Source organism: Homo sapiens, chromosome 5, assembly GCF_000001405.40.
Source record: "Homo sapiens chromosome 5, GRCh38.p14 Primary Assembly".
Lineage (NCBI taxonomy): Eukaryota > Metazoa > Chordata > Mammalia > Primates > Hominidae > Homo > Homo sapiens.
The window spans coordinates 172,374,704-172,400,973 of NC_000005.10; the positions used below are offsets into that span (position 1 = coordinate 172,374,704).

Below are 26,270 nucleotides of genomic sequence, written 5' to 3' on the forward strand. Positions count from 1 at the left end.
CTGTATCACAAATGCAGCATTACAAATTAGGGCTTACAAAGCACTTTAAGTTATCTCATGAGTAATGAAGTTTGCAGTGGTTGGGTTGGGATGGACATTGTGGCAACAGTAGCATTAGCTAATATTATTAAATGGTGCTAGACCCAGTGCCGGCACCCTGCTAGGCATTTGTAGTTCACTCATTCAATACTCACAACGATCCCAGGAAATAAGTATTATTCTTATTCCCATTTTACAGACGAGGAACAGAGAGGCTAAGTAATTTGCTCAAGGTCACACAGCTAGCAAGTAGCACAGCTAGAATTGGAACCCAGATCGAACTAACTTTTAAAAAACTGAGATATAATTGACAAACCATAAAACTCATCCTTTAGGCCAGGAGCGGTGGTTCACGCCTGTAATCCCAGCACTTTGGGAGGCCTGGGGCAGGCAGATCACCTGAGGTCAGGAGTTGGAGACCAGCCTGGCCAACATGGCAAAACCTCATCTCTACTAAAAATACAAAAATGAGCCAGGTGTGGTGGTGGGCACCTGTAATCCCAGCTACTCAGGAGGCTGAGGCAGGAGAATCGCTTGAACCTGGGAGGTGGAGGCTGCAGTGAGCCGAGATCATGCCACTGCACTCCAGCCTGGGAGACAGACCGAGACTCTGTCTCAAAAACAAAACAAAACAAACAAACAAAACCCATCCTTTTAAGGTATACAATTTACTGGTTTTTAGTATATTCACAAGGTTGTCCAACCATCACCAGACCACTTTCATCACTCCAAAAAGAAGCCCTATACCTGTTATTAGTCACTTCCCATTCCCCCTCCTCCAGGCCTTGGCAACCACAAATCCTGCTTGCTGTCTCTAACGATTTGCCTATTCTGGATGTTTCATATAAATAGAATCATATAATGTGTGGCCTTTTGTGTCTGGCTTCTTTCATTTGGCATAATGTCTTTGAGGTTCATCTGTGTTATGGTATGTATCAGCACTTCATTCCTTTTTGTTGCTAAGTAATACTCCATTGTCTGGATAAACCACAATTTGTTTACTCCTCACTAAGTTGCTTGACATTTGGGTTGTTTCCACTCTTTGGCTATTTTGAATAATGTTTCTGTGAACATCTGTGTACAAGTTTTTGTATGGACATGTATTTTTATTTCTCTTGGTTATATACCTAAGAGGGGAATTGCTAGGTCATATGGTAACTCCAGGTTTAACTTCTTGAGGAAGTGCCACACAGATGTCCACAGTGACTGCACCATTTTATATTCCCACCAGCAACGTATGAAGGTTCCAACCTCTTCATATCCTTGACAATACTTGTCATGTATCTTCTTTTTTTTTTTTTTTTTGAGGTGGAGTCTCACTCTGTTGCGCAGGCTGGAGTGCAGTGGTGTGATCTTGGCTCACTGCAACCTCTGCCTCCCAGGTTCAAACGATTCTCCTGCCTCAGCCTCCCATGTAGCTGGGATTATAGACGCCCACCACCACGCCTGGCTCTTTTTGTATTTTTAGTAGAGACGGGGTTTTGCTATGTTGGCCAGGCTGGTCTTGAAGTCCTGACCTCAGGTGATTTGCCCGCTTTGGCCTCTCAAACTGCTGGGATTACACGTATGAGCCACCATGCCTGGCCTATCTATCTTCTTGATTACAGCCATTCTAGTGGGTGTGAATTGGATCTAATGATATTTCACTGTAGCTTGGATTTGCATTTCCTGATGGATAATGATGCCAGGATCTTCTCATATGCTTACTGGCTATTTGTGCATTTTCTTTGGAGAAATGTCTACTCAATGTGTCTGGGTTTTTAACCACCATGTAATAATGCTTCAGAGCAACCTGGGAGAGAGCAGTGAGGGAGCCAAGCCCAAGAGCAGGGGCTACAGTCCTCCTGTATGTCTGGGAGGCGCAGCAGAGTCTGGCCAGGTCGGGCTGGGCTGGTGGTGATGTCCTCCCTCCAGGGATAACATCACTGAGGTTGACCTTCACAGCGCCCATGCAGAGAAGGGTGAGGGTCAGAGTGGAATGTCCTAGCTCACCTTCACTGGCACTCACTGGGTCCTGGTCAGAAAGCTACACTTGGACTGCCTCACTGCGTCCGCATACATCCCTTTGAGGGTTACTCCATTTTGCAGATGAAGATACTGACGCCCAGAGAGGTGAGGTACCAGGCCCAGGACTGGAACCCAGGAAGTCTGGCTGGAGCCCACTCTCCTGACCACCACCTGGACCATCCAGTGACTGAAGCTCCCCTCTTGGCTGCTGCATCAAGACACACTAACGAAGGTTCCACCAGGCTGCTTCTACAGAAAGCACCAGCTGCCAGAGTTGCCATCCAGGCCTGCGACCTGAGCCGTGGTCTGGGCTTAAGACCCGGGCTCCTGCTGAGCCATGCACCCCTGCTTCCACTGTCCCAGCCAGAGCAGAGGAGTGGGGGCGGCAGGGGACTCTTGGGTTCAGGCAGCCACAGCATGCGTTTGCTCAAGCAGGTGGGTCATCTTCTTGGTGTGACATGCTTGGGGTGTTCCCAAGTTTTCCTACTCATGGCGGCCAAAACCCTCCTCCAATAGCACCAGCTGGCTAGGAAAGACGCCCAAAGTCCATGTCAAGCCCTAACATGGGTTGACCTTCAGGATCCTGACCAACAGACCAACCCCAATGGGTATAACCCTCAAGTTCACCATCCCTAAACCAACAACCAGGACCCAGCTGAGACTGCCTGCTGTGGCCCCAGAACCATCCCTTGGGCCCTTGGCAACCACCTTCCTTCCTTTTCAAATCCTGGCTTAAAGACAGGAAGGCATCACTAGGTAAGCACCTGCCCTGTGCCAGACACCATCCTTTATGGGCAGGGTCTTGCTTAGTCCTCACAACCAAGCTGTGAGCCAGGGTAGTGACGCCCGCTTTACTGATGAGAAAATAAGCTCAGAGAAGTCAAGTCATTTGTCCAAGGTCACACAGCTGGGAAGGGACAAAGAGATTTGAACCTTCCCTTTCTTTTCAGGAAGGCTCTCAGAACCAGATACATATACTCCAGCATGATGGACGTATATAAGATATGAGATAAGCATGCTAGCTTATCTCAGCTGTTACTTGGTGCTTTCTTTGGTACAGTCTGGGCTGTGTTTTGTATTTTCAGTGGATGTTCTATTTGTGTATGCATGGGTGCCTGTGTACCCACATGTTCACACAGCTTTTCCCACCACTGTGAAAGTCAGCAGGCCCTCCCTATCTGGCTGATGAATGAACAATGCCAGTGCCCTTGGCTGGATGCAGCATGGGCTGAGAGCTCCTGTCCTGCGCTATTTCTACAAGCCCAAGCCAGCAAGCTAGTGAGGCTGCCTCTGCCACCAAAGAGAGGAAGCCAGAGAGTACCACAAAGCCACCATGCAGCCTCCGGGACTTCCCACCTCCTCTCGAGGGCTGGCTCACACCCTTTGTCCCCGAGTGTCCTTCCTTCTTGAATGAAGATGACCAGACTCCTCCCAAGCACAGCAGCTGCCCCTGGCCTGGCCCTCTCCCCTCTGTGTGTCTAAGTTGGTCTGATGCTTGCTCAGAGGCTGGGGCCACTGCAACCACCCTTGCCAGGGAGAGGGCAGAGGCATCCCAGCACTAACACTGGGAAGGGCCGCCAGCGCGGGGCTTCTTCACCTCAGGTCCATGTACAGGATTCTGCACAAATAAGGACCTCCTGAAACTGCAGGTGCTCTTCCAGGAAGAGGGAAGAAAGCTTTTGTTGGAATCTCTAAGTGGTCCATGATGCTCCCCAAAGTTAAACTTGGATTCTCTAAGTGGTCCAAGATGCTCCCCAAAGTTAAAGTAGAAGAAAATCTGGCTATCATTGAATCCAGGGGCCCAAGGAATGCACACCAATGCCAATACTACCCTCGTGGCTGCTGTCTGCTCCTTCCTCTGCCCTTGGGCAATATGGTCTGTAGAGCAGTTCCAAGTGATTTTCTCCACATCTTCTCATTTGATTCCCCAAGCAATTCTGTGAGGGAGGTGTCATCAGGCCCATCTTACATAAGAGGAGACTGAGGCAAGGGGCAGAAAAACCTGCCCAATCTTACCCAGCTTGAAAGTGGCTCCTATAGGCCGGGCATGGTGGCTCATGCCTGTAATCCCAGCACTTTGGGAGGCCAAGACAGGTGGATCACGAGGCCAGGAGATCGAGACCATCCTGGCTAACACGGTGAAACCCCGTCTCTACTAAAAATACAAAAAATTAGCCGGGCATGGTGGCGGGCGCCTGTAGTCCCAGCTACTTGGGAGGCTGAGGCAGGAGAATGGTGTGAACCTGGGAGGCGGAGCTTGCAGTGAGCCAAGATCGCGCCACTGCACTCCAACCTGGGTGATAGAGCAAGACTCTGTCTCAAAAAAAAAAAAAAAAAAAAAAGGAAAGTGGCTTCTATAAACTGAATTCATATATTGAAACACTAACCCCAGTGTGATGGTGCTTGGAGATGGAGGCTTTAGGGGTAATTAGGTCATAAACGTGGAGCCCCCCGGATAGGATTAGCGCCTTTATGAGAAGACACAAAGGTAAGAGGATCGCTTGAGCCCAGGAGTTTCAGACCAGCCTGGACAACATAGCCAGACCCTGTCTCTACAAAAAATTAAAAAAAAAAAAAAAAAAAAGAAGAGACATAAGAGAGCTGGCTTTCTCTCTCTCTCTCTCTCCCATGTGGGGACACATCTGCAAACCAGGAAGTGGCCTTCACCAGGCACTGAAATAGCTGGCACCTTGATCTTGGATTTCCAGCCTCCAGAAAGTGAGAAATACATTTTTGTTTAAGCCACCCAGTCTGTGATATTTTTGTCATAGCAGGTGGAACAGACTAAGACAGTAGTCAGGCAATTTTCCCTGCTGAGGGTATATCAGGCTGGGCATCTTGATCAACTCTTAAGAGACAGCGCTGGAATAAAGACAACAATGTCTGGTCATTCCAAGAGGGGCACTACCATGAGCCGCCACTTCCTGAGCAGCTGGCAAAGTCTTAGAATTTTTCCCTGTGGCAGTCACTCAGTCCTCAACATTACCCTACAAAGTACAGCTACTCCCATTTCACAATAGAGCAAGTGGAAGCCCAGAAGCAAAGTGAGGGAGGCCCATGGCCACAAAGCCCAGGAGTGGCAGAGGCAGGATTCGAACCTGGGTGTACTAGATTCCAAACTCAGGCTCTTTTCTATCAAGTGAGCCTCTTGTGTGGGACTGAGCTTAGGTTCAGACTCAGGCTGACCTGGGGAAAATTCACCTTCACCTCTTCCAAACTGTGCCTCTCTTTCATTATCATTTTGTTAAAAGTCCCTTTTATTATTCTGAACCTCAGCTTCCTCATCTGTAAGAGAGGAATGACAGGTTTTTTTGTTTTTGTTTTTGAGACAGAGGCTCCCTCTGTCACCCAGGCTGGAGTGCAGTGGCGGCGATCACTGCTCACTGCAGCCTCAACCTCCTTGGCCCGAGCAATTCTCCCATCTCAGCTTCCTGAGTATCTGGGACTACAGGCACGTACCACTATGCCCGGCTAATTTTTTTTTTATTTTTAGTAGAGACAGGATCTGACTATGTTGCTCAGGCTGGTCTTGAACTCCTGTGCTCAAGCAATCCTTCCGCCTCGGCCTCCTAAAGTGCTGGGATTACAGGCGTGAGGGAATGACAGTTTTTATTGGGCAGTTTCGTGAGAAAATGAAGTGGAAAGGGAACACAATAAGCTCTGTATCCTTTGATTTACCTTGTGTAGAAATTATAAGTGAAGCCAGAGGCTATGAGCCTGAATGGCAGTTCAATCCTGTAAGCCCAGGAGGACTGGAGACAAAGGTGCTTTGAGACTATTTCCCCATATTTCATGATGGCGACACAAATTGGGAAATGCTTACCAGACACCAACGCCAAAGACACTAAGAACAAAAACATTAGCCAGCACGAGCGAAACACCCCAAATTATCAGATTTATATTATTCTGTATCTTTATGATTATTTTCAAATTTATGAAACTGTGTCTTGGCTCCCGTGTTGGTAAGGCATTCCCTTGTGACATCCGATTCAAAGGTTTACTGTTGCCTCTTACAGTCTCCCTTCACTCCAAAACCACGCACTTCTGTGCGCTCACTATGAGAAGCTGTGTTTACTCGCTCCGTGCTCGTCACAGGAAATGGTGCATATTGGGATATATTTATTGCAGAAACTTAGGTCTACTCATCTGTGTGCTAGCAAACCATCAGTCCTGAGTGGTGTACTCGGAAGTCTGTGAACTCGATTTTGGAGGTCGCTGTGTGTGTGTATAAATATAAATGGCCTGACTTCACTTGTTAAAACACTTTCATGCTTTCTCCTCACAAGTCTATTTAAAAAATTTTTGTGATTCCAGCAGATCATTTCCAAAAGGGAGCATGTGTCTTTCTCTCTTGATACACATACAGTGCTTGGCACACTGCCCGCCACGCTGGCTGCTCAGCAAACTCAGCCTTGGTTACGGCTGCTGCCTGGGGCATCCAGCGAACGCAGCGCCAAGAGCAGCAGCATCTACTTCTGGAACAGAGCCTGGCTGGTACTTTTCAGCCCTTCTCGAATGAGCCCAGACGGACCCCAAACTCTGCCCGCTCTTGCTCCTGTGACCCCAGGACACTCCCAGCACCTTGGGCTGATCTCTTTTCCCCACTGCTATTTCTCCGTTAGCCAGATCCCTTCCTGCTTTCCCCAAAGCACCCGGGCCGGCCAGAGTGTTGGTGCGTAAGTGCGGGTAAGCAGGCGGTGCTAGAGTTTTATGTGGTGTGCACTGTGTGGCTGGGGCTGCTGGCTGTGTAGCGACAGGCGTCTGGGCAAGTGGCCTGTCCACTGCAGGGAGAAGTGACAGGGAGGCAGGGCTGTGGTGGGCATTTTGGAGAGCTTCGGAGCCTGGCTGGTCAGGATGAAATCCCGGCCCCGTTGCTCACCGGCAGTGGGGTCTTCGTTGGTTTGGGTTGCTCCCGCATTCACATCCCTGGCAGTTCCCGAGCACACCCACCTCCACCTCTGTGGACAGAAGCTAGATGAATCTACGGCTCAGCCCCTGCCTCACGGGCTCAGCCTGCTCAGTTCCGACACACCTCGATAAGTGCTGTGGGCAGGTGGAGAGTATGATGGGATGACAGGAGTGGCACTCAGCCAGTTTCCTTCACCTGTCAAACGGACGATCGCTACCCACTTACAGCAACTCTGAAGGCTAAGTGAAGTGCGGTCTCACAGGGGCTCAGCCGACGAAACCCACTTTTGGCTGCACTTTGCTTTACTTGGGGGTGGCTGGACTGGCAGGAGGGAGGGCTGTGGGGCTCCATCTGGGGAAGCCCACAAACAAACTTACTCTTTGGGGGGATTCAGGTCCTCAGGTCTTGTCTCAAAGAACTGCAGCACCTCATCACACTGAGAGATGTAGGGGGGCAGCTGGATGAGGGCCTGGAGAAGAGAGACGCAGGTGAGTGCAAAGGAGGAGAGGGGGCTGAGCATGGTGGCACGCGCCTATAATCCCAGCTACTCGGGAGGCTGAGGCAAGATAATTGTTTGAACCTGGGAGGCGGAGGTTGCAGTGAGCTGAGATCGCGCCACTGCACTCCAGACTGGGTGACAGAGCGAGACTGTCTCAAACACACACACATACAAACACAAAAGCAAACCCAAAAAGCAAAGGAAGGAGACGGGTGTTAGGAATGCCATATACCACCAGTGGCTCTCAGACTCGGGAAGGCACCAGAATCACTTGGAGGGCTTATTAAAACACAGATCGTGGAGCCCCACCCGAGTTTCTGATCCAGTAGTTCTGCGGAGGGGGCTGAGGATGTGCATTTCTAAAAAAGTTTCCTGGTGATGCTGCTGGTTTGGAGAACAACACACACACACACACACACACACAATGTATGATATACACGCATATATTATAGGCATATTTGTTCAAGTAATATGTCCATATTTAGGCAAAATCAGACCATACTGTACATGCTATTTAGTAAACCTATGCTTTCACTTAGCTATAAATTGTCAACTTCATGCCATTTCATTATTCTTATTTATTTATGTTGAGACAGGATCTTGCTCTGTCACTCAGGCTGGAGTGCAGTGGTGCAGCCTCGGCTCACCACAACCTCTGCCTCCTGGGTTCAAGCGATTTTTGTGCCCTAGTCTCCTGAGTAGCTGGGATTATAGGCATGTGCTACCATGCCTGGCTAATTTTTTTTTTTTTTGTATTTTTAGTAGAGACAGGGTTTCGGCATGTTGGCCAGGCTGGTCTCGAACTCCCGGCCTCAAGTGATCCACCCACTTCAGCCTCCCAAAGTGCTGGGATTACAGGTGTTTGAGCCACTGCACCTGGCTCATTTCATTATTCTTCTATAACATCATCTATACTGGATACTGGATTTTGTACAGCTGTGTCATACTTTATTCAACTCGTCTACTGGTGAATCTTTAGGTTATTTCCAACATGCTCACATATATGTCTTAACTCACGAATCTGAAGCATTAAAGTGAAGGGACTGTTTTATGATTTGGATAGAGGTTCAAAGTCTCCAAGTTGATGAGGGGTTGAAACAGATCTTCCACTGGCCAAATTCCACATTAATCTGCCCCAGTGACTCACTGGCTGTGTAGCCCTCCACAATGCTGGTTTATTTACTAACCTCCACAAAGCTGGTTTATCTACTAACAGGTATTCATTCAATGATTCAATGAGCAAAAATTTTCTTTGTGCTCAGCACTGCACTAGTTTCTGTGCCAAATACAACAGAAGTGCAGGGTACACTCTGCTCGTTGAAGGATCCGAAACTCAGACATGGCCATCATGAATAAACAGCTCAGTTTAACAAATATTTACTTAAGCCTCCTTTGGCCCGGGCCCTGGACCAGGGTAATGAGGATGCAGATCTGAGGGTGGTTCAGGTGGTTCACGCATACATTTTGTTGCACACACCTGTGCAGAGAACACGTGTGCATATGCATGAATTGCACAGGTGATTCTGCCAGCCAAGCTGCCCAAGCAGTGCGTGCTCTGCATGAGGCTGGACTCTGTTCTCTCCTAGAGGGCCTCAGTTCCCTGGTGCCTCTCATGAGCCTTCTCACCATGCTGAGCCTGAGTCTCTGGGGTCTGGGGATAGAAGAGATGTGTCTTGCATTTCCTTTCTTTCTTTCTTTTTTTTTTTTTGAGACAGAGTCTTGCTCTGTCACCAGGCTGGAGTGCTGTGGTGCTATCTTAGCACACTGCAACCTCTGCCTCCCGGGTTCAAGTGATTCCCCAGCCTCAGCCTCCCTAGTAGCTGGGATTACAGGCGCACGCCACCCCACCCGGCTAATTTTTTATATTTTAGTAGAGATGGGGTTTCACCATGTTGGCCAGGATAGTCTCGATCTCCTGACCTCGTGATCCACCCACCTCGGCTCCCAAAGTGCTGGGATTACAGGCGTGAGCCACTGCGCCCGGCCTGTGTCTTGCATTTTCTATATAACCAGCCCTTAATAGCTCACCACCCAACTCCCAAAGTGATGTGCCGACGCTGCAGCAGTACTGGGCTCTCGTGGACCAACGGAGAGATGAATGGAGGCCTCCAGTGTGGCACCTTTTACAGGGCTTTGGGGATATGTTGACCCTACACAATTATTTCTCCCATTAAAAAAATTAAATTGTGGTAAAATACACACAGTAAAAAGCTTACCATCTTACCCATTTTCAAGTGTACCGTACGGTGCATTAAGTATTTAATGCATTCACACTGCTGTGCTACCAGCACCGCCATCCATCCACAGAACTCTATTCATCTTGCAAAACTGAAACTCTGTACCCATTAAACAACAACTACCCTTCCACCCTCCCCCAGCAACCACCATTCTACTTCTGTCTCTAGGGATTGATGATTCCAGGTAGCTCATATAAGTGGAATCATACAGTGTTTGTCTTTTTGAGTCTGGCTGATGTCATTTAGCATGCTCATCCATTCAAGGTTCATGCTTGCAGCAGGCGTAAACACTTCCTTCCTTTTAAAGGCTGAGTAATATTCCATTGTCTGGATACACCGCATTTTGCTTATCATTCACCTGTCGATGGACACTTGGGTTGCCAACCCTACATTACTTTGAATCAGGCTCTAACTTTAAGTCCCCGAGCTGCAATCTGCTCCAGACTCAAAATGGATAAACACATCATGAGGGACGTGGATGGTCTAGTAGGGCACCTTCCCTGGTCACTGTCCACCCTTCCACCCTTCTGAGGGGTGACTAAAGGGCTCACCGATTTTTAAAATTAGCCTTTAAGTAGCTCCTGCTCTGCAGCAAATCCTTAAGGACTGTTTCCAGAGTTGAATCAGGGAGTCCCAGAGACAGGAGCAGGCCCTTCCCTCCCTCACCTCCTGTTTCTGGTCCCCCTTCTTTTTCTGGTTCCAAGCAGTGAGTGGTCATTCTCCTGGCCTGGATGAGCTGCTGTCTGCTCCCCCCTCCCCATGGGCCTCTTTTTCCTCTGAAATCCTGCAGCCCTTGCAGTTGGAGCCACATAATGAAGGAGCTGATTATATGCTGGACTGTGGTGTGTCCTGGCTGCTTTGTGTGCAAATATCTTGTGGCTTCCCCCCAAGACTACAATAACAGCACTCCTCGACCTTGGCTTAGCACTGGGAGGCTCCTGAAACGTGTTCATCTGTGTCACTTTATGTAACCCTGGGAAGGCTGGCCCATTTAAGAGATGGGGAAATGGAGGCTCTGTTGAGGTGGCTTGGTCTAGAGAGTCCAGGAAAGGCTGACTGCAAACCTCTACCTTAAATCCACAAAAGGCGGCAGGGTGGCAGCTGTTCCTCCTTCACCTTCCCTACGTGCCTAGACAGTGCTGGGGAGACCCTAAATAACACGAGGCAACAGCCCGGAGCTGGCCATGTGTCTCTGCTAGAGGAGACTTGGGTGGGTGTGGGGAATGGCCCCTGGAGGTGGTCACTGTCTCTGCCTGGAGGGGGCCTCCCAGGATGGGCAGAGGCCCCAAATGGACCAGAAGGGGAAGGGACAACGAGGCCCATGGAAACCTCCTGATGATGCCAAGTTCTCTTCTGGTTTTGAGCTATGCCTAGGAAGTAAAAGCCAAACCAAACCCCTAAACCATAAAAGAAGTCAAGTTACTAATAAAAGGCAGGGCTGAATGCTTTGATGTTGGCCCATTTCATTTGGGATGGACTTGGCTACCAGTAAAAAATGACCCGGGGCTGGAGAAACCATTCTGCTTCTGAAAGACTCCAGGATAGTCCTAAGTCCTGTCAGTAGTGACAAAGAACCACAGCTCCAGCAAACTCAGTCCTGTTCTGGAACGGATCCTGGCGCTTTGGACAGATGTGGCTGATGCAGGCACGAGAGAGGAGAGCAAGTCCTGCTTGCAGAGGGTAACAATAAAGGTCAGAGAGAACCAGCTCCTGACTCTGGCCTCGTCACTTCCTGGCTGTGAGATTCTGGCCAAGTCTCACTGCCTCTCTGAGCCTCAGTCTACTCATCTGTAAAGCGGAAATAAAGAACACCCATCTTGGAGGGCTGTGCTATAGAATAAGTGAGGAAGTGGTTGTATGGTTTCCATCATATATTAGCTGCTTGATGGACACTGGATAACCCTGTTGGCTCTCTATACTGTCCCAGGTACAAGAATATAGTGTTTCCAAAGGCGATTTCAGAGGCAGCCAGATGATTATGTTAAATGACAATATCTTGGCTAGGGAGAAGGTTCATGTTTTCTCAATTCTCTTTCAACCCTCTTTAATTTAAAAAAGAATGCCCCAGAGAAGTAACACTTGTCTAACTTGCTTCCTGAGAGCAGGACGGGCTCTGCAGAGCCTCCGGTAGGCAGGTAACAGCAGTTAGCCAGATTTAAAAACGTTTTCTGTTGTTGTTGTTGTTTTATTGTTTTTATTTTTATGGCAGGCACATGATACCCATTTGTTTTGTTTTGTTTGTTTGCTTGTTTTTGAGACAGGGTCTGGCTCTGTGGCCCAGGCTGTAGCACGGGGTGGGATCTCAGCTCACTGCAGTCTCCACCTCCTGGGCTCGAGATCCTCCCACCTCAGCCTCCTGAGTAGCTGGGGTTACAGGCGTGCACCACCACGCCTGGCTAATTTTTGTCTTTTTAGTAGAAACAGGGTTTCACCACGTTGCCCAGGCCGGTCTCAAACTGCTGGGCTCAAGCGATCCACCTGCCTCGGCCTTCCAAAGTGTTGGGATTACAGGCGTGAGCTGATACCAGTTTTATGTTATGGTTGTGATATAAAGTTTTCTCGAAGACATATTGTTTTCAGAAGTTCAAAAAGTCAGGAAGCCCTCAGCACAGTAGGCAGCAAGCCAGTCTCATAATCTGAAGAAGTTCAAAAAGTGAGTTGAAGAAAAATATGAATAATAATATAGGTGGGTGGTGTATGACAGAATTCCAGAAGGGAAGTCTCAAGTGACTGGAGCCTGGTAAATACTACTGTTATGTTGCCCATAGTTTAAAATACTACAGCATGGGCACACACACTCACAAGTGTGTATGTTTGCATGTGTGTTCCATTTAAGCTACACCGTATGATGCTTAGTTACTACCTGAAGTCCCCTCATTGAGAATGAACACTGGTGCAAGTGAAAGACTCTAATCAGAAGTCCACACTTCAGAAAAGGCTGCTTCAGGGCTTTAGCTGTCTTCATTGTGGATCAATGCCACAGCCTTTATTCATTAGCTTAACTGTTGTTAGAATTTTTGTTTTCTACTGGTGAAATGTTCCTAGAAATATTCTCAGACACTCTGGCCCTTGCACAAACAGAACCTGGTGAGCCCAGTACCGTACACCCTTCAGAACGGGGCCCTGGGTCTAGGATTTAGGGTTCAGCCTCTTCTTGAGGATTTTACTGTCAGACCACGGTTAGGATGAGCTGATCCTGCCTCTAGAATGTGGTTGCATCTGCCTTGAGGAATCATTCATGCAAAGAGATGTCAGACAGACAACTGGGATTTCAAGGAGCTTCCAGAAAAACTTGAGTGGCTATTTATGAGGTGGCTTGATAATAAATACTTGTATGTGTGACAGGATTCAGCTAAGTCATATTTTCATTGTGTCTTTTGATGAACAGAAGTTCTTAAATTTAATGTATTCAAATAAACCAATCTTTTTGTGCTTGGTATCCTTTTTGTATCTTTAGAAATCCTATACCTAGAGATTATAAATATATTTTCCTAATGTTATCTCCTAAAACATTTTGTAATATTGCCTCTTACATTTATGTCTTTAATTTTCTTGGAAATGATTTCATGTGTGGTGTGAGGCAGGGATAAGTTATCTTTTTTGTTTTTTTCCCATGTGGATACCCATTTATTGAGGAATGATCTGCAAGGCTGCCTTTGTCAGTATCACAGTGCCCATCCAAATACACATGGATCTGTTTCTGGGTTTTCTATTTGTTTCAAGAGTCTGTCTATCCGTGTGCTAATACTGCACTATGTTAACTACTGTAACTTTACAATAGGTCTGGTAGAGCAGAAAGTTTCTTCCATTGTAATATAAACTTGGTAGCTAAATTTGGGGTATCATCTATAGCTCTCATCTATCTCTATTAGAGACCTTCATTTTCTACTAAAATAAAGCTAGTTATGATAGATCAAATTGGCTTCAGTTGGTTCACAACAATGTCAGTAACAGATACCCAAATGTCATGTAACAGCCTATGTAGTCTATAAAAGAAAGGGATCATTTCATCAGTTCCCTTGAAGCTGAGCCCAGGAAATCTGGCCAAAAAACTCCAAATATCCACTCTATTTATTATGTTTCATTAATAGCAGGGGGTAGTAACTTCCCCGTGGCTCATTTAACATAAGCAGTTCCCTCCCTGTGGTTAGTCCAAGTGAATTCATTATCTCTGTACCATTTCAAGCATCAGGCTGCTGCTATCCTGTATTACTCTCGGATTTTAAATTTCCTTTTCAAAACCAAAAGTCCAGGAGTTGGTGAAGCCCTGGGTGCAAGGAAAGTCTGACTCTGGAGAGAAGTCAGGTGGGCTGGGCAAGAAGCAGAATAGGCTGATTTGGGCTGAGGGACAACAGATTCTGGGGAAGTTATGAACTGGAACTTCCCGGCTAGGCAAGGTGACCCTATAGTCCTTGCCAGCAGGGCCTGGACAAAAGAAGATCATCTCCAGAATTGGAATTTCAGGCTCTAGAGGTTTGGAAAGTGACAAGGAAGAGCTGAACCTTCTTCTGAGGGCTGGGAGGCAACAGCAGCGCTGATGGCTGCCCCTTAGCCCTGGCCCTTCCTTTGTCATCAGGTACTTAGAAGACAGAAGAGTCTGGGTTTATCTGGCTCTAAGAAACACACATTTGAATATCTTGGCCTTTTGCATTTTTACTTTTTCTTTTTTTTTTTTTTTTGAGACTGAGTCTCACTGTGTCACCCAGGCTGGAGTGTAATGGCATGATCTTGGCTCACTGCAACCTCTGCCTTCTGGGTTCAAGCAATTCTCCTGCCTCAGCCTCCTGAGTAGCTGGGATTACAGGTGCCGACCACCACACCTGGATAATTTTTATATTTTTAGTAGAGATGGGGTTTCACCACATTGGTCAGGCTGGTCTCAAACTCCTGACCTCGTGATCTGCCTGCTTTGGCCTCCCAAAATGCTGGAATTACAGGCATGAGCCACCATGCCCGGCCTTGCATTTTTACTTTCTTAGAGGCCATAAGTGGTATGTGAGTGTGGAGGTGTAAAAGGCTTGAGTCCAACTCTCTAACACTCAAACCTAAAATCTTATTGTAAGTAACTTTGTTGGGCCTCCACCTCCTCATCTACACAATGGGAATAATAAAACTTACTCCTGCCTAGGAATTCGAGACCAGCCTGGACAACATGGTGAAACCTCATCTCTACCAAAAAAAAAAAAAAAAAAAAATTGGTATGTGCTGGTAGTTCCAGCTACTCAGGAGGCTGAGGTGGGAGGATCACTTGAGCCTAGGAGACTGAGGTTGCAGTGAACCAAGGTCACCCTACTGTATCCAGCCTGGGAGATAGAGCAAGACCTTGTCTCAAAATAATAAAAATAAAGCCTACTCCTCAAAGTGGTTGGAGAGATAAGACAAGGTCCCATCTGGCAAAGAGCAGATGCCAATCAGGAGAGGTTTTCTGACCTTCTTTGATATCTCCTGCCAAGAGAGGGATCATCTGTCCCCACACTGCCCCCTTCTGTTCAACACTTTTTTTGTAGAGATGGGGGTCTCACTATGTTGCCCAGGCTGGTCTCAAACTCCTGGCCTGAAGCAGTCTTCCCACCTTAGCCTCCCAAACTGCTGGGATTACAGGCATGAGCCACTGCGCCTGGACTAATACTTTTTAACAGATTTACCGTGGCATAAATTACATACCATAAAATTTACCCATTATAAGTGCACAATATCAATGTTATTTGGTAAATTACAGAGTTGTGCAGCAATCACCACAATCTAGTTTCAAAACTTTTCCATCACTTCAAAAATGTCCCCCAACCTAATTTACAGGTCATCTCTGTTTCTTCTACCACCCCCAGGTCTGGGAAACCACTGATCTGCTTTTTGCCTCCATAAATTTGCCTTTTCTGCAGATTTCATATAAACAGAATCATACAATATGTAGTTGTACACATCTGGCTTCTTTCACTTAGCATTATGCTTTGGAGATTCATCCAGCTTGTAGCATTTACCAGTGTTTCATTGCTTAATTTATTTATTTAGAGCTGGAGTCTTGCTCTGTCACCCAGGCTGGAGTACAGTAGCACTATCAAGGCTCATGGCAGCCTCCAACTCCTGGACTCAAGCAATCCTCCTGCCTCAGCCTTCTGTGTCCTGGGAGTGCAGGCTCAAGCCACTGTGGCACGCTCCCAGTGCCTTTTATTGCCAAATAAAAAGATATGTCTATTGTATGGATATTACACATTTTGTGTATCCATGCACCAGCTGATGAACTTGTGGATCACTTCCAGTTGTTGGCTATTATGAATTAATGTTGCCATGAACATTTGCAGCCAAGTCTTTGTGTGGACACAAGTTTTCAATTCGCTTGAGTATATACCTAAGAGTGGTCATATGACAAGTTTAACTTTTGAGGAAACTGCCAAACTGTCTTCCAAAGTAGCTTCCCGTCTTTTGTGTGTGTGTGTGTGTGTGTGTGTGTGTGTGTGTGTGTGTGTGTGACAGAGTTTTGCCCTTGTTGCCCAGGATGGAGTGCAATGACACGATCTCGGCTCACCGCAATCTCCACTTCCCGGGTTCAAGCGATTCTCCTGCCTCAGCCTCCTGAGTAGCTGGGATTACAGGCATGCGCCACCTCGCCTGGCTAATTTTGTATTTTTAGTAGAGATGGGGTTTCTCCATTTTGGTCAGGCTGGTCTCGAACTCCCGACCTCAGGTGATCCACCCGCCTCAGCCTCCCAAAGTACTGGGATTACAGCCGTGAGCCACCACGCCCGGCTTGCAGCTTCCTATCTTAAGGGCTCCAGTTACTCTATGTTCTCACCATCACTTGGTATTGTCCTGTCTTGTTGATTATAAGCAACTCTAGTGGCTGTATAAGTATCTCATTATGGTTTTATTTTGCATTCCCATAATGACTAATGATATTGAGCATCTATTCATGTGTTTACTAGTCATTCCTATGCCTTCTTGGGTAAAATTTTTATTGAAGTCTTTAAAATCGGGTTGTCTTACTATTATTGAGTTCTTGGTGTATGTTCAATACAAATCCTTTATCAGATATATGATTAACAAATATTTTCTCCCAGTCCACGGCTTGCCATTTCTTTCTCTTTTTTTGAGATGGAGTCTCACTCTGTTGCCCAGGCTGGAGTGCAGTGGCACGATCTTGGCTCACTGCAACCTCCACCTCCTGGATTCAAGCCATCCTCCCACTTCAGCCTCCCAAGTAGCTGGGATTACAAGCGTGTGCCACTAAGCCCGGCTAGTTTTTGTATTTTTAGTAGAGATGAGGTTTCACCAAGTTGGCCAGGCTGGTCTCAAACCCTGGACCTCTGTCTGCCTTGTGATCTGTCTGCCTTGGCACTCCAAAGTGCTGGAATTATAGGCATGAGCCACTGGCCTGGCCATTTTGTTAATGGTACTTTTTGAGATACAGAAGTCTATAAGTCAATTAAATTAAATTCAATTTTTATCAGTTTTTCTTTAAAGGCTCACACTTTTGGAGTCATAGCTAAAAACTCTGCCCAACTCAAGGTCGTGATGAGTTTCTCCTATGTTTTCTTCTAGAAGTTTTACAGTTTTAGCTCTTATATTTAGGATTATGATCCACTTTGAGTTGATTTTCATGCATGGTATGAGATAAGGATCTAACTTCATTTTGAGATAAGGGTCTAACTTCATTTTTTTTTTTTTGCATATGTATAGCTGTTGTGGGTTATAGTGTTTTGCTCTCCACCCCCTATTTATATATTAAAGACCTAACCCCCAAGCCCCTAGAATATGAATATATTTGGAGATGGGATCTTTAAAGAGGTAATTTAAAGTAAAATGAAGTCACTAGGGATGTGCCTTAATCCAATATAACTGTGTCTTTACAGGAACAGGAGATTAGGACATAGAAAGGTACAGAAAAGACCTTGTAAAGACACAGGGAGAAGAGGCATTTCATCTATAAACCAATGAGAGAGGTCAGAAGGCCCTGCTGCCTAGACTTCCAGTCTCCAGAACTGTAGGAAACTAAATGATGTTGTAAGCCAACCAGTTTGTGGTATTTTGCTATGCAGCCCTAGGAAACGAATGCAACAGGTGACTATCTCAACTGTTTGTTAAAAAGACTATCCTTTTCGGCCCAGCATGGTGGCTCATGCCTGTAATCCCAGCACTTTGGGAGGCCGAAGTGGGTGGATCACTTGAGGTCAGGAGTCTGAGACCAGCCTGGCCAACATATAGTGTAACCCCGTCTCTACTAAAAATACAAAAAAAAAAAAAAAATTAGCCAGGCATGGTGGTGGGTGCCTGTAATCCCAGCGACTCAGGAGGCTGAGGCAGGAGAATCCCTTGAACCCAGGAGGCGGAGGTTGTAGTGAGCCGAGATGGCGCCACGGCACTCCAGCCTGGGCAACAGGGCGAGACTCCATCTCAAAAACAAAAACAAAAACAAATAAACAAACAAAAACTATCCTTTTGCCAGTGAATTGTCTTGGCACCTTTGTGGAATATCAGCTGATCAAACATTTTGTAGGATTTTATTTCTGGACTCTCAATGTTGTTCCGCTGATCTACATGCCTATTTTTGTCAGTACCATACTATCCTGATTACTGCACCTTGTAGGCAGTTTTCAAAATGGGTAATATGGCTCATCTAACGTTGTTCTTTTTCAAAAGTGTTTTGACTATTCTGGATCCTTTATATTTCCACATACACTTGAGGATTGGCTTGTCAATTTCTATAAAAAAGCCTATAGAAAAGATTTTGACAGGGATTGTATTGAATATGTAGATTCATTCTGGGAGGAGTTCCATTTTAACAATATTGAGTCTTCCAATCCACAAGTATGGAATATCTCTCCATGCATTTAGATCTTCTTTAATTTTCATTGAAATGTTTTATATAAACCCTGCACTTCTTTTGTTAAATTTATTTCTAAGTATTTTATTCTTTTTGATGCTATTGGGAGTGGGACTGTTTTCTTAATTTCATTTCTGGATTATTTGTTCCTAGGATTTAGAAATACAATTGTTTTCTGTATATTGAGCTTTTATCCTGATTTTACTAAACTCATTGATTTGTCCTAATATTTTTTTGATGGATCTCTTATGATTTTCTGCATAGAGAATCGTGTCATCTGTGAGTCAAGAGTCAATACTCTTTCCTTCCCAATCTGGATGGCTTTTCTTTCTTTTTTGTGTGCTTACACTGGCTAGTCCCCTAGTAAAATGTAGAACAGACATGTAAGGGTAAACATACTTGCTTTGTTCCTGATCTGAGGGGGAGATTGTTCACTGCTCCATTTAAAAAACATTTCTTGCTATTCCTACCCCTCTCCCATCAGAATCGCTAGTGATTTTAACTTGGAGAAACAAATACCAAAGAAAAGCTGCTAAACAATATAAAAACATGCTCCTTTCCTGACTATAGCCTCAAGTCAAATGAAATATAACCAAAAGGCAGGTCTCTTGTTGTTTAGGACGTTCAAGGGACAGGAAGCTGCTGCACCATCAAACAACAGGGATTGGCTAAATAACTTTGGAAGCATGAATGTATAATGGAATACTACGTGGTCATTAAAAGTAGGCTTAAGAGGATTTTTTTTTTTTTGAGACAGAGCCTCACTCTGTTGCCCAGGTGGGAGTGTATTGTGCCATCTCAGCTCACTGCAACCTCCACCTCCCAGGTTCAAGCGATTCTCCTGCCTCGGCCTCCCGAGTAGCTGGGACTACAGGTGTGTCCCACCACACCTGGCTAATTTTTGTATTTTTAGTATAGATGGGGTTTCAACATGTTTGGTCAGGCTGGTCTCGAACTCCTGACTTCAAGTGATCCACCTGCCTCGGCCTCCCAAAATGCTGGGATTATAGGCGTGAGCCACTGTACCCAGTCAAGAGGATGTTTTAATAGTAGGGAAATTCTCACATAATAATTATGGCAAAAGAGAAAGAGCAACAAAATTACACATACAGAATGGTCTCAACATCATTAAGAAATGCACATAAAGAAAAGGTGGAAAGGAAATATGTAAAACCCTTAATAACTAACTGTTGCCTCTAAGTTGAATGATAATGAATGATTTTCCCCCTAATTTCTTTACATTCCTTTGAATTGCACAAATTTTTATTGTTGAGCATCTTGTAGCCAGAAAAAGAAAAGAAAACAGAATACACCTACAGGGAAGACTGCGTGGGCATTTCTCAGCCTTACCTTACAGTATTCATCAATTGGTATCAGGCGTTTGACAGCCACGTCCCGGATGTGGCTTCGTCTGAAGAGAATCTTACCTGCAGAAGATGAGAGCAAAGACAGTGTTGTCAGGGAACAGGGACAAGCTCTCAGCAACCTGAGAGGGTGTGGACATGGCGGTTCCTAGGGTAGGTCTGAGTGGTGCCAAAATTCCTGGCTGCGATCAAGGTACCCCCACTGGACTTCCGTGAGGCTTGGATAAGCCCATGTGAGGTCCCCCTAAACCCTGTTCACAGCTTTAACACAAGGGCTTGGGGGAATGGGACCCACGGAATAAGTTTTGGTGAGATAAGGGAGGCTGGAAGCAACTGTGGAAGGAAGCCGCTCCTACCTGATGAAGAAAGAAGGTTGGACCCGAGCATGTGAGGTCCTGTCCAACTCCAGGATTCTGGCTGGGTGAACAGTACAGTGGACAAACAGACATGCCCTCAGCAATAGTTCAGTCTCCTCCCTTCTCCTCATTCACCCTCTGCCTTTTCCTCATGTTCCCTAAACCCCCGTGCTCTACCATTCTGAGCCCTCCCCTCTGCCTGGACACCTCCCCATGCATCCCCACCACCATCCCTCATAGGGGTTAAGAGTTCCTGGCTCTTTCTGACTGCACACATTATTTATTTTTATAGCACTTCTTCTGTCCTACCAATCATGTGCTCTGCACCAATAGGAACTGACTGCGTCTCAGTCCATTTTGTGACAATAATGTTTGATAAATGTATGAATGTGGCTTCCACCTGCAAAGAGGACAGATCCTTCCAGTTCCTTCCCCAGTTAGTGTTCGTAAGAGAAGGGTTTTGAGTTCTCTTATTTCACCAAATATTAACTGAGAGTCCATGACCTGCTTCACAACATCCGAAACTCTGGGGCATGGGGCTATGAACCACCAATATGACACATGGGTAGAGAATGTGGGTCACAGGAAAACACGGGTATATACATGATGCCACTGAAGATCTCTGGAAATATCCAAGACATTGAAATGTCATGGGCGATGCCTGTTTAAAGCAAATCAGTGGGTTCTCAGAGAGTTTACACAGGATATCCTCTCTTGGGGAGATAGTGGCGAAGCATATGCACTAAGGGTTAAGACCACATGACTCACCATTCTGAATCTACCACACAGTCAGGGGTGGGGGAAATCAGAAATAAGATACAAAGGAGGGCCAAAGACATGGGAGATGGAGATAAGCCTCTACCAAGCTCGTGCAGAGCAACCGGGGGTATCTATGGGTAGGTCAAGGGGAAGGTGTGGGAGGACCAAAGCTGCTCTGGAGAGCAGAGCATGGAGACCTACTAAGAGCTCTCTCTATTTCTGGTCCTAGGAGGTTGGTTAAAAAGAGGAATTTGGGTCAAGAGGCTGGCAAGGTGAAGAGAGATTACTATTGATCTAAGACGGTTTCTGGTGAGATGGCTATCTCCACAGATCAAGCTCGGGCAGGCAGGGATAGGATGGCATAGAAAAGTCTAGTAAGGATTGGGCGTGGTGACTCACGCCTGTAATCCCAGCAGTTTGGGAGGCCGAGGTGGGTGGATCACTTGAGGTCAGGAGTTTGAGACCAACCTGGCCAACATGGCAAAACTCTGTCTCTACTAAAAATACAAAAAAAAAAAAAAAAAAAAAAAAAATCAGCCTGGTGTGGTAGCATGTGCCTGTAGTCCCAGCTACTCAGGAAGCTAAGGCAGGAGAATCACTCGCATCTGGGAGGCAGAGGATGCAGTGATCCAAGATCATACGACAGCACTCCAGCCTGGGTGACAGAATAAGTGAGACTCCGTCTCAAAAAAAAAAAGAGGCTAGTATAGTAAGAATTTTCATATGACAGAACTGGAAGGAATGTTGAAAAACAACCCTACTGACTTTTAAAGATTTGCAATGCAAAGTGGTAAAGGAGATTTGCACCCTAAAAGACCATGTAGCTAATCCAACATTTTAAACAACTGGACAACTTGCTCTGGTGCAAAAGGACACTATTTGGAAACTAGGTAGACAAGGTAAATTTAAAAAAAGAGAGAAAGCCTTTTTTTTTTTTTTTTTTGCTCATTTTCACCAATTAAAAAAATATCTAGGCTGGGTGCGGTGGCTCACGCCTGTAATCCCCACATTTTGGGAAGTCAAGGCAGGTGGATAACCTGAGGTCAGGAATTTGAGACTAGCCTGGCCAACGTGGTAAAACCCCGTCTCTACTAAAAATACAAAAATTAGCTGGTGGCACATGCCTGTAATCCCAGCTACTCAGGAGACTGAGGCAGGAGAATCGCTTGAACCCAGGAGATGGAGGTTGCAGTGAGCTGAGATCATGCCATTGCACTCCAGCCTGGGTGACAAGAGCAAAACTCTGTCTCAAAAAAAGAAAGAAAAAAATGTAGATGAATACGTATCACAAAGTATCACAAGGGAGATAACCTTTAGGTCTGGCTGCCTGAGAGCCAGGCGGAACAGAGCCATATTTCTCTTCTTTCAAAAGCAAATAGGAGAAATATTGCTGAATTCTTTTTCTCAGCAAGGAACAGCCCTGAGAAAGAGAATGCATTCCTAGGGGGAGGTCTCTGAAATGGCCACTCTGGGAACGTCTGTCTTTTATGGTTGCAGATAAGGGATGAAATAAGCTCCGGTCTCCTGTAGCGCTCCCAGTCCTATTAGGATGAGGAAATTCCCGCCTAATAAATTTTGGTCAGACCGTTGTCTGCTCTCAAACCCTGTCTCCTGATAAGGTGTTATCAATGACAATGCATGCCCGAAACTTCATTAGCAATTTAAATTTTGCCCCGGTCCTGTGATCTTGCCCTGCCTCCATTTGCCTTGTAATATTTTATTACCTTGTGAAGCACATGATCTCTGTGACCCACACCCTATTCGTACACTCCCTCCCCTTTTGAAAATCACTAATAAAACTTGCTGGTTTTGCAGCTTGGGGGGCATCACAGAACCTGCCGACATGTGATGTCTCCCCCGGACACCCAGCTTTAAAATTTCTCTCTTTTGTACTCTTTCCCTTTATTTCTCAGACTGGCCGACACTTAGGGAAATAGAAAAGAACCTACGTGAAATAACATTGAATTATTGGGGGCGGGTTCCCCCGATATCTGGCACCCAACATGGTCTTTCTTTTTTCCTAAGTGCATGTGGGAACCCAATTCCCTTTGGTAGAGATTTACTGGCACAATGGGGGGCTGAAATTAATATTCCACGTAACTCTTATAGTGCTCCCAGTCAGCATATGATGGAAAACATGGGGTTTGTTCCTGGGCTCGGTCTCGGTCCAAAGCATGAAAGGATTACTAAACCCCTCCCAGTTACTGTAAAAGAAAACAGGGCGGGTTTAGGTTATCCTTTTTAGTGGCGGCCGCTGCCACGCCTCCTGATCCTATCCCTTTACAATGGAAATCTGACACACCTGTTTGGATTCAGCAGTGGCCGCTCTCTAAAGAAAAACTGGAGGCTTTAACTCACTTGGTTTCTGAACAGTTACAACTTGGAAATGTGGAACCTTCTCCTTCCCCCTGGAATTCTCCTGTGTTTCTGGTAAAAAAGAAATCAGGCAAGTGGCGGATGGTAACCAATTTAAGGGCTATTAACACTGTAATTAAACCTATGGGGGCCGTTGAAACCGGCATGCCTGCCCATGCTTTAATACCTAAAAATTGGCCTCTCATAGTTATTGATCTTAAAGATTGTTTTTTTCATATTCCTTTACATAAATTGGATTGTGAAAAATTTGCTTTTACTGTACCATCTATCAATAGTCAGGAGCCTGCAGTTCATTATCAATGGAAAGTACTTCCTCAGGGAATGCTAAATAGCCCTACAATCTTCCAGCTTTATGTTGGGCAAGTGCTTTCAACAGTTTGAGCCCAATTTCCCCAGGCCTATATTCTTCATTATATTGATGATATTTTAATTGCTGCCCCCACTGATAAAGAATTAATTGACTGTTATCAAAGTTTGAGCCGCCGTGTTACAGAGGCTGGATTACACATCACTCAGGATAAACTTCAACAGACCACTCCTGTTCAATATTTAGGAATGGTGGTCGATAAACAACATATTCAACCTCAAAAAGTTCAAATTAGGAAAGATTCTTTGAAAACTTTAAATGACTTCCAAAAACTTTTGGGTAACATTAATTATTTAAGACCTACTTTAGGTATTCCAACCTATGTGCTGTCTAACTTGTTTTCTACACCATGGGGAGATTCCAATCTCCGCAGTCCCAGGACTGACCCCTGAGGCTTCACTAGAACTGGAATTCGTAGAGGAAATTCCAGTTATCTAGAGTACAGCCGTTTCAGCCTTTTCAGCTTCTGGTTTTCGCTTCATTACACTCCCTTACTGGACTAATAGTTCAACATAATGATTTAGTGGAGTGGTGTTTTCTTCCTCATTCTGTGTCAAAAATTTGTCTGTTTATCTAGATCAAATGGCCACCTTAATTGGACAGGCTCAGTGTAGAATACTTAAAATTTCCAGATTTGATCTGAATTTAACTGAAGTTCCTTTAAAACAGCTTGAAGTTCAAGCTGCCTTTCAACATTCCATACTATGGCAAATTCACTTGGCTGATTTTATTGGCATTATTGACAATCATTATCCAAAGAACAAATTGTTTGATTTTATAAAAATGACATCTTGGGTGGTCCCTCGATTAACCAAAGATCAGCCCATTCCTGAGGCCGTTACAGTGTTCACTGATGGCTCCAGAAATGTAAATGCTGGTTATGTAGGTCCTACAAACAAGCTTATTTCTACCCCTTATACCTCTGCTCAAAAGGCTGAGTTAATTGCTATAAATACTGCCTTACAGGATTTCCCCAAACCTTTAAATATTGTCTCTTATTCTACTTAACATGGGAAAGAGGATATGCTTGTGTTTCACCAGGAGATCATCAAAAGAAAACCGCAGGGAAAAGACGTCCGCGTCAGAGACTGCCCTCAGACGTGGTGAGATCTGTGCCAACTCCTTAGAAGCCGGCACACCAAATCACAATGGGTCTGATTCAATCCTCCTTGATGGCAATGGAGACCCATCTAACTAATTCCACTTTTCCTGATTGCCTTTCTTTTTCTCCTTACAAACCTAAAAATCTCACCATTTCTATTAGCCTGACAATAACATCCCTCTGTTCTTCTCTTCCTCCTTCAGCACTCAATCTCGCTTACACTGGGTTTTATTTAATTATTCTCCTCCTTATACTTTCTGTCTCACCAGTTTCCTCTCACACTGATTTACCTGCTACACAAAATTATTCTTATTGGGCTTATGTGCCTTTTCCTGCACTTATTCGACCTCTCACCTGGATAGATGTTCCTGCAGAAATCTACACTAATGATAGTGTGTGGATGCCTGGAGCTACAGATGACTGTTGCCCTGCTCAACCAGGAGAAGAAGGAACTGCATTTAATGTTACCACGGGTGATAAATACCCCCCTCTGTGCCTTGAACATGCACCTGGTTGTATCCATCTAGAAACTCAAGTCTGGGCTACTTATCTTCCAGAGAGATCAGCTACAGAGGAACCGGGACATTTGGTCTCCGGCCTCTCCCTTTCTCCTTTGAAACAAATGAAAGGGGGAGTACTGGGAGATACCCCATACTTTCAATATAAACCTGAGGAAAACCATGCCCTAAAAATTTTGAGGGCCCATCTAAAACTTTAATCTCAGAAGACTGTGTTAACTCACATGCAGTAATATTAAAAAATGACTCATATGGTTTAGTAATAGACTGGGCACCAAAGGGCTATTTAAAAAACAATTGCTCCTCTGGCAGAAGGGAATGCCTGGAGGCTACTTATTTTATTTCTTATCGGGAGAACGAGAATCATCATTCTACTTTGCATAGGAGGTTCAGCTTGTTCTTTCCCTTAAAATGGGAAGATAAAGGCATTACCCCCCTGAGGCCTCATATGATACTCCCCATTCTGAGCCCAGAACACCCAGAACTTTGGAAATTGGCTCTTGCCATGTCTGGACTGCAAGTATGGGAAGGGAAAACTATTCTGTCTGTTGTCCCCACTACCGTCCCCCTCTCTCAGTATCACCATAGATCCAGACATTCTGCTTTACTTACCTCCAACCTGACTGTTCCCACACAGAGTTGTGTTAAGCTTCCTTACATGCTGTTAGTAGGAAATATCAAAATTTGGACGAACAATCAAACTGTCCAATGCATTAATTGTCATTTATACACTTGTATTAACTCCCATTTTGACTCCAGGGAAAGTGTAATGTTGGTTCGGGCTCGAGAAGGAATCTGCATTCTGGTAACTTTGCCCAGACCTTGGGAATCCTCCCCCTCAATACATTTAATTAATGAAGTGTTACAGCAAATTCTAAAAAGATCTAAGAGATTTGTTTTCACTTTAAGCGCTGTGATC

General features: G+C 45.5%; 1 protein-coding gene across 3 annotated transcripts in view, besides 3 other annotated features; it reads right to left on the reverse strand.

Moving 5' to 3' along the window:
• Positions 1 to 26,270, reverse strand: part of SH3PXD2B (SH3 and PX domains 2B) — a 129,345-nt gene that overhangs the window by 49,523 nt on the left and 53,552 nt on the right. For all 3 annotated transcript variants that reach the window (NM_001308175.2, NM_001017995.3, XM_017009351.2), the window contains exons 4-5: positions 19,860 to 19,936; positions 7,333 to 7,424 (exon numbers count right to left, since the gene is read on the reverse strand). In NM_001308175.2, coding sequence (NP_001295104.1) covers positions 7,333 to 7,424; positions 19,860 to 19,936 — 169 coding nt within the window. The remainder of the gene's footprint in view (positions 1 to 7,332; positions 7,425 to 19,859; positions 19,937 to 26,270) is intronic.
• Positions 3,071 to 3,130: a silencer, noted in NCBI's record as "silent region_16621". NCBI's record gives its function as "represses an Ori minimal core promoter by ATAC-STARR-seq in GM12878 lymphoblastoid cells {active_cell/tissue: GM12878}" and the evidence as "EXISTENCE:reporter gene assay evidence [ECO:0000049][PMID:35858748]".
• Positions 3,431 to 3,560: an enhancer, noted in NCBI's record as "active region_23637". NCBI's record gives its function as "activates an Ori minimal core promoter by ATAC-STARR-seq in GM12878 lymphoblastoid cells {active_cell/tissue: GM12878}" and the evidence as "EXISTENCE:reporter gene assay evidence [ECO:0000049][PMID:35858748]".
• Positions 20,869 to 21,069: a silencer, noted in NCBI's record as "peak5578 fragment used in MPRA reporter construct". NCBI's record gives its function as "represses an SCP1 promoter by STARR-seq MPRAs in K562 erythroleukemia cells {active_cell/tissue: K562}" and the evidence as "EXISTENCE:reporter gene assay evidence [ECO:0000049][PMID:32103011]".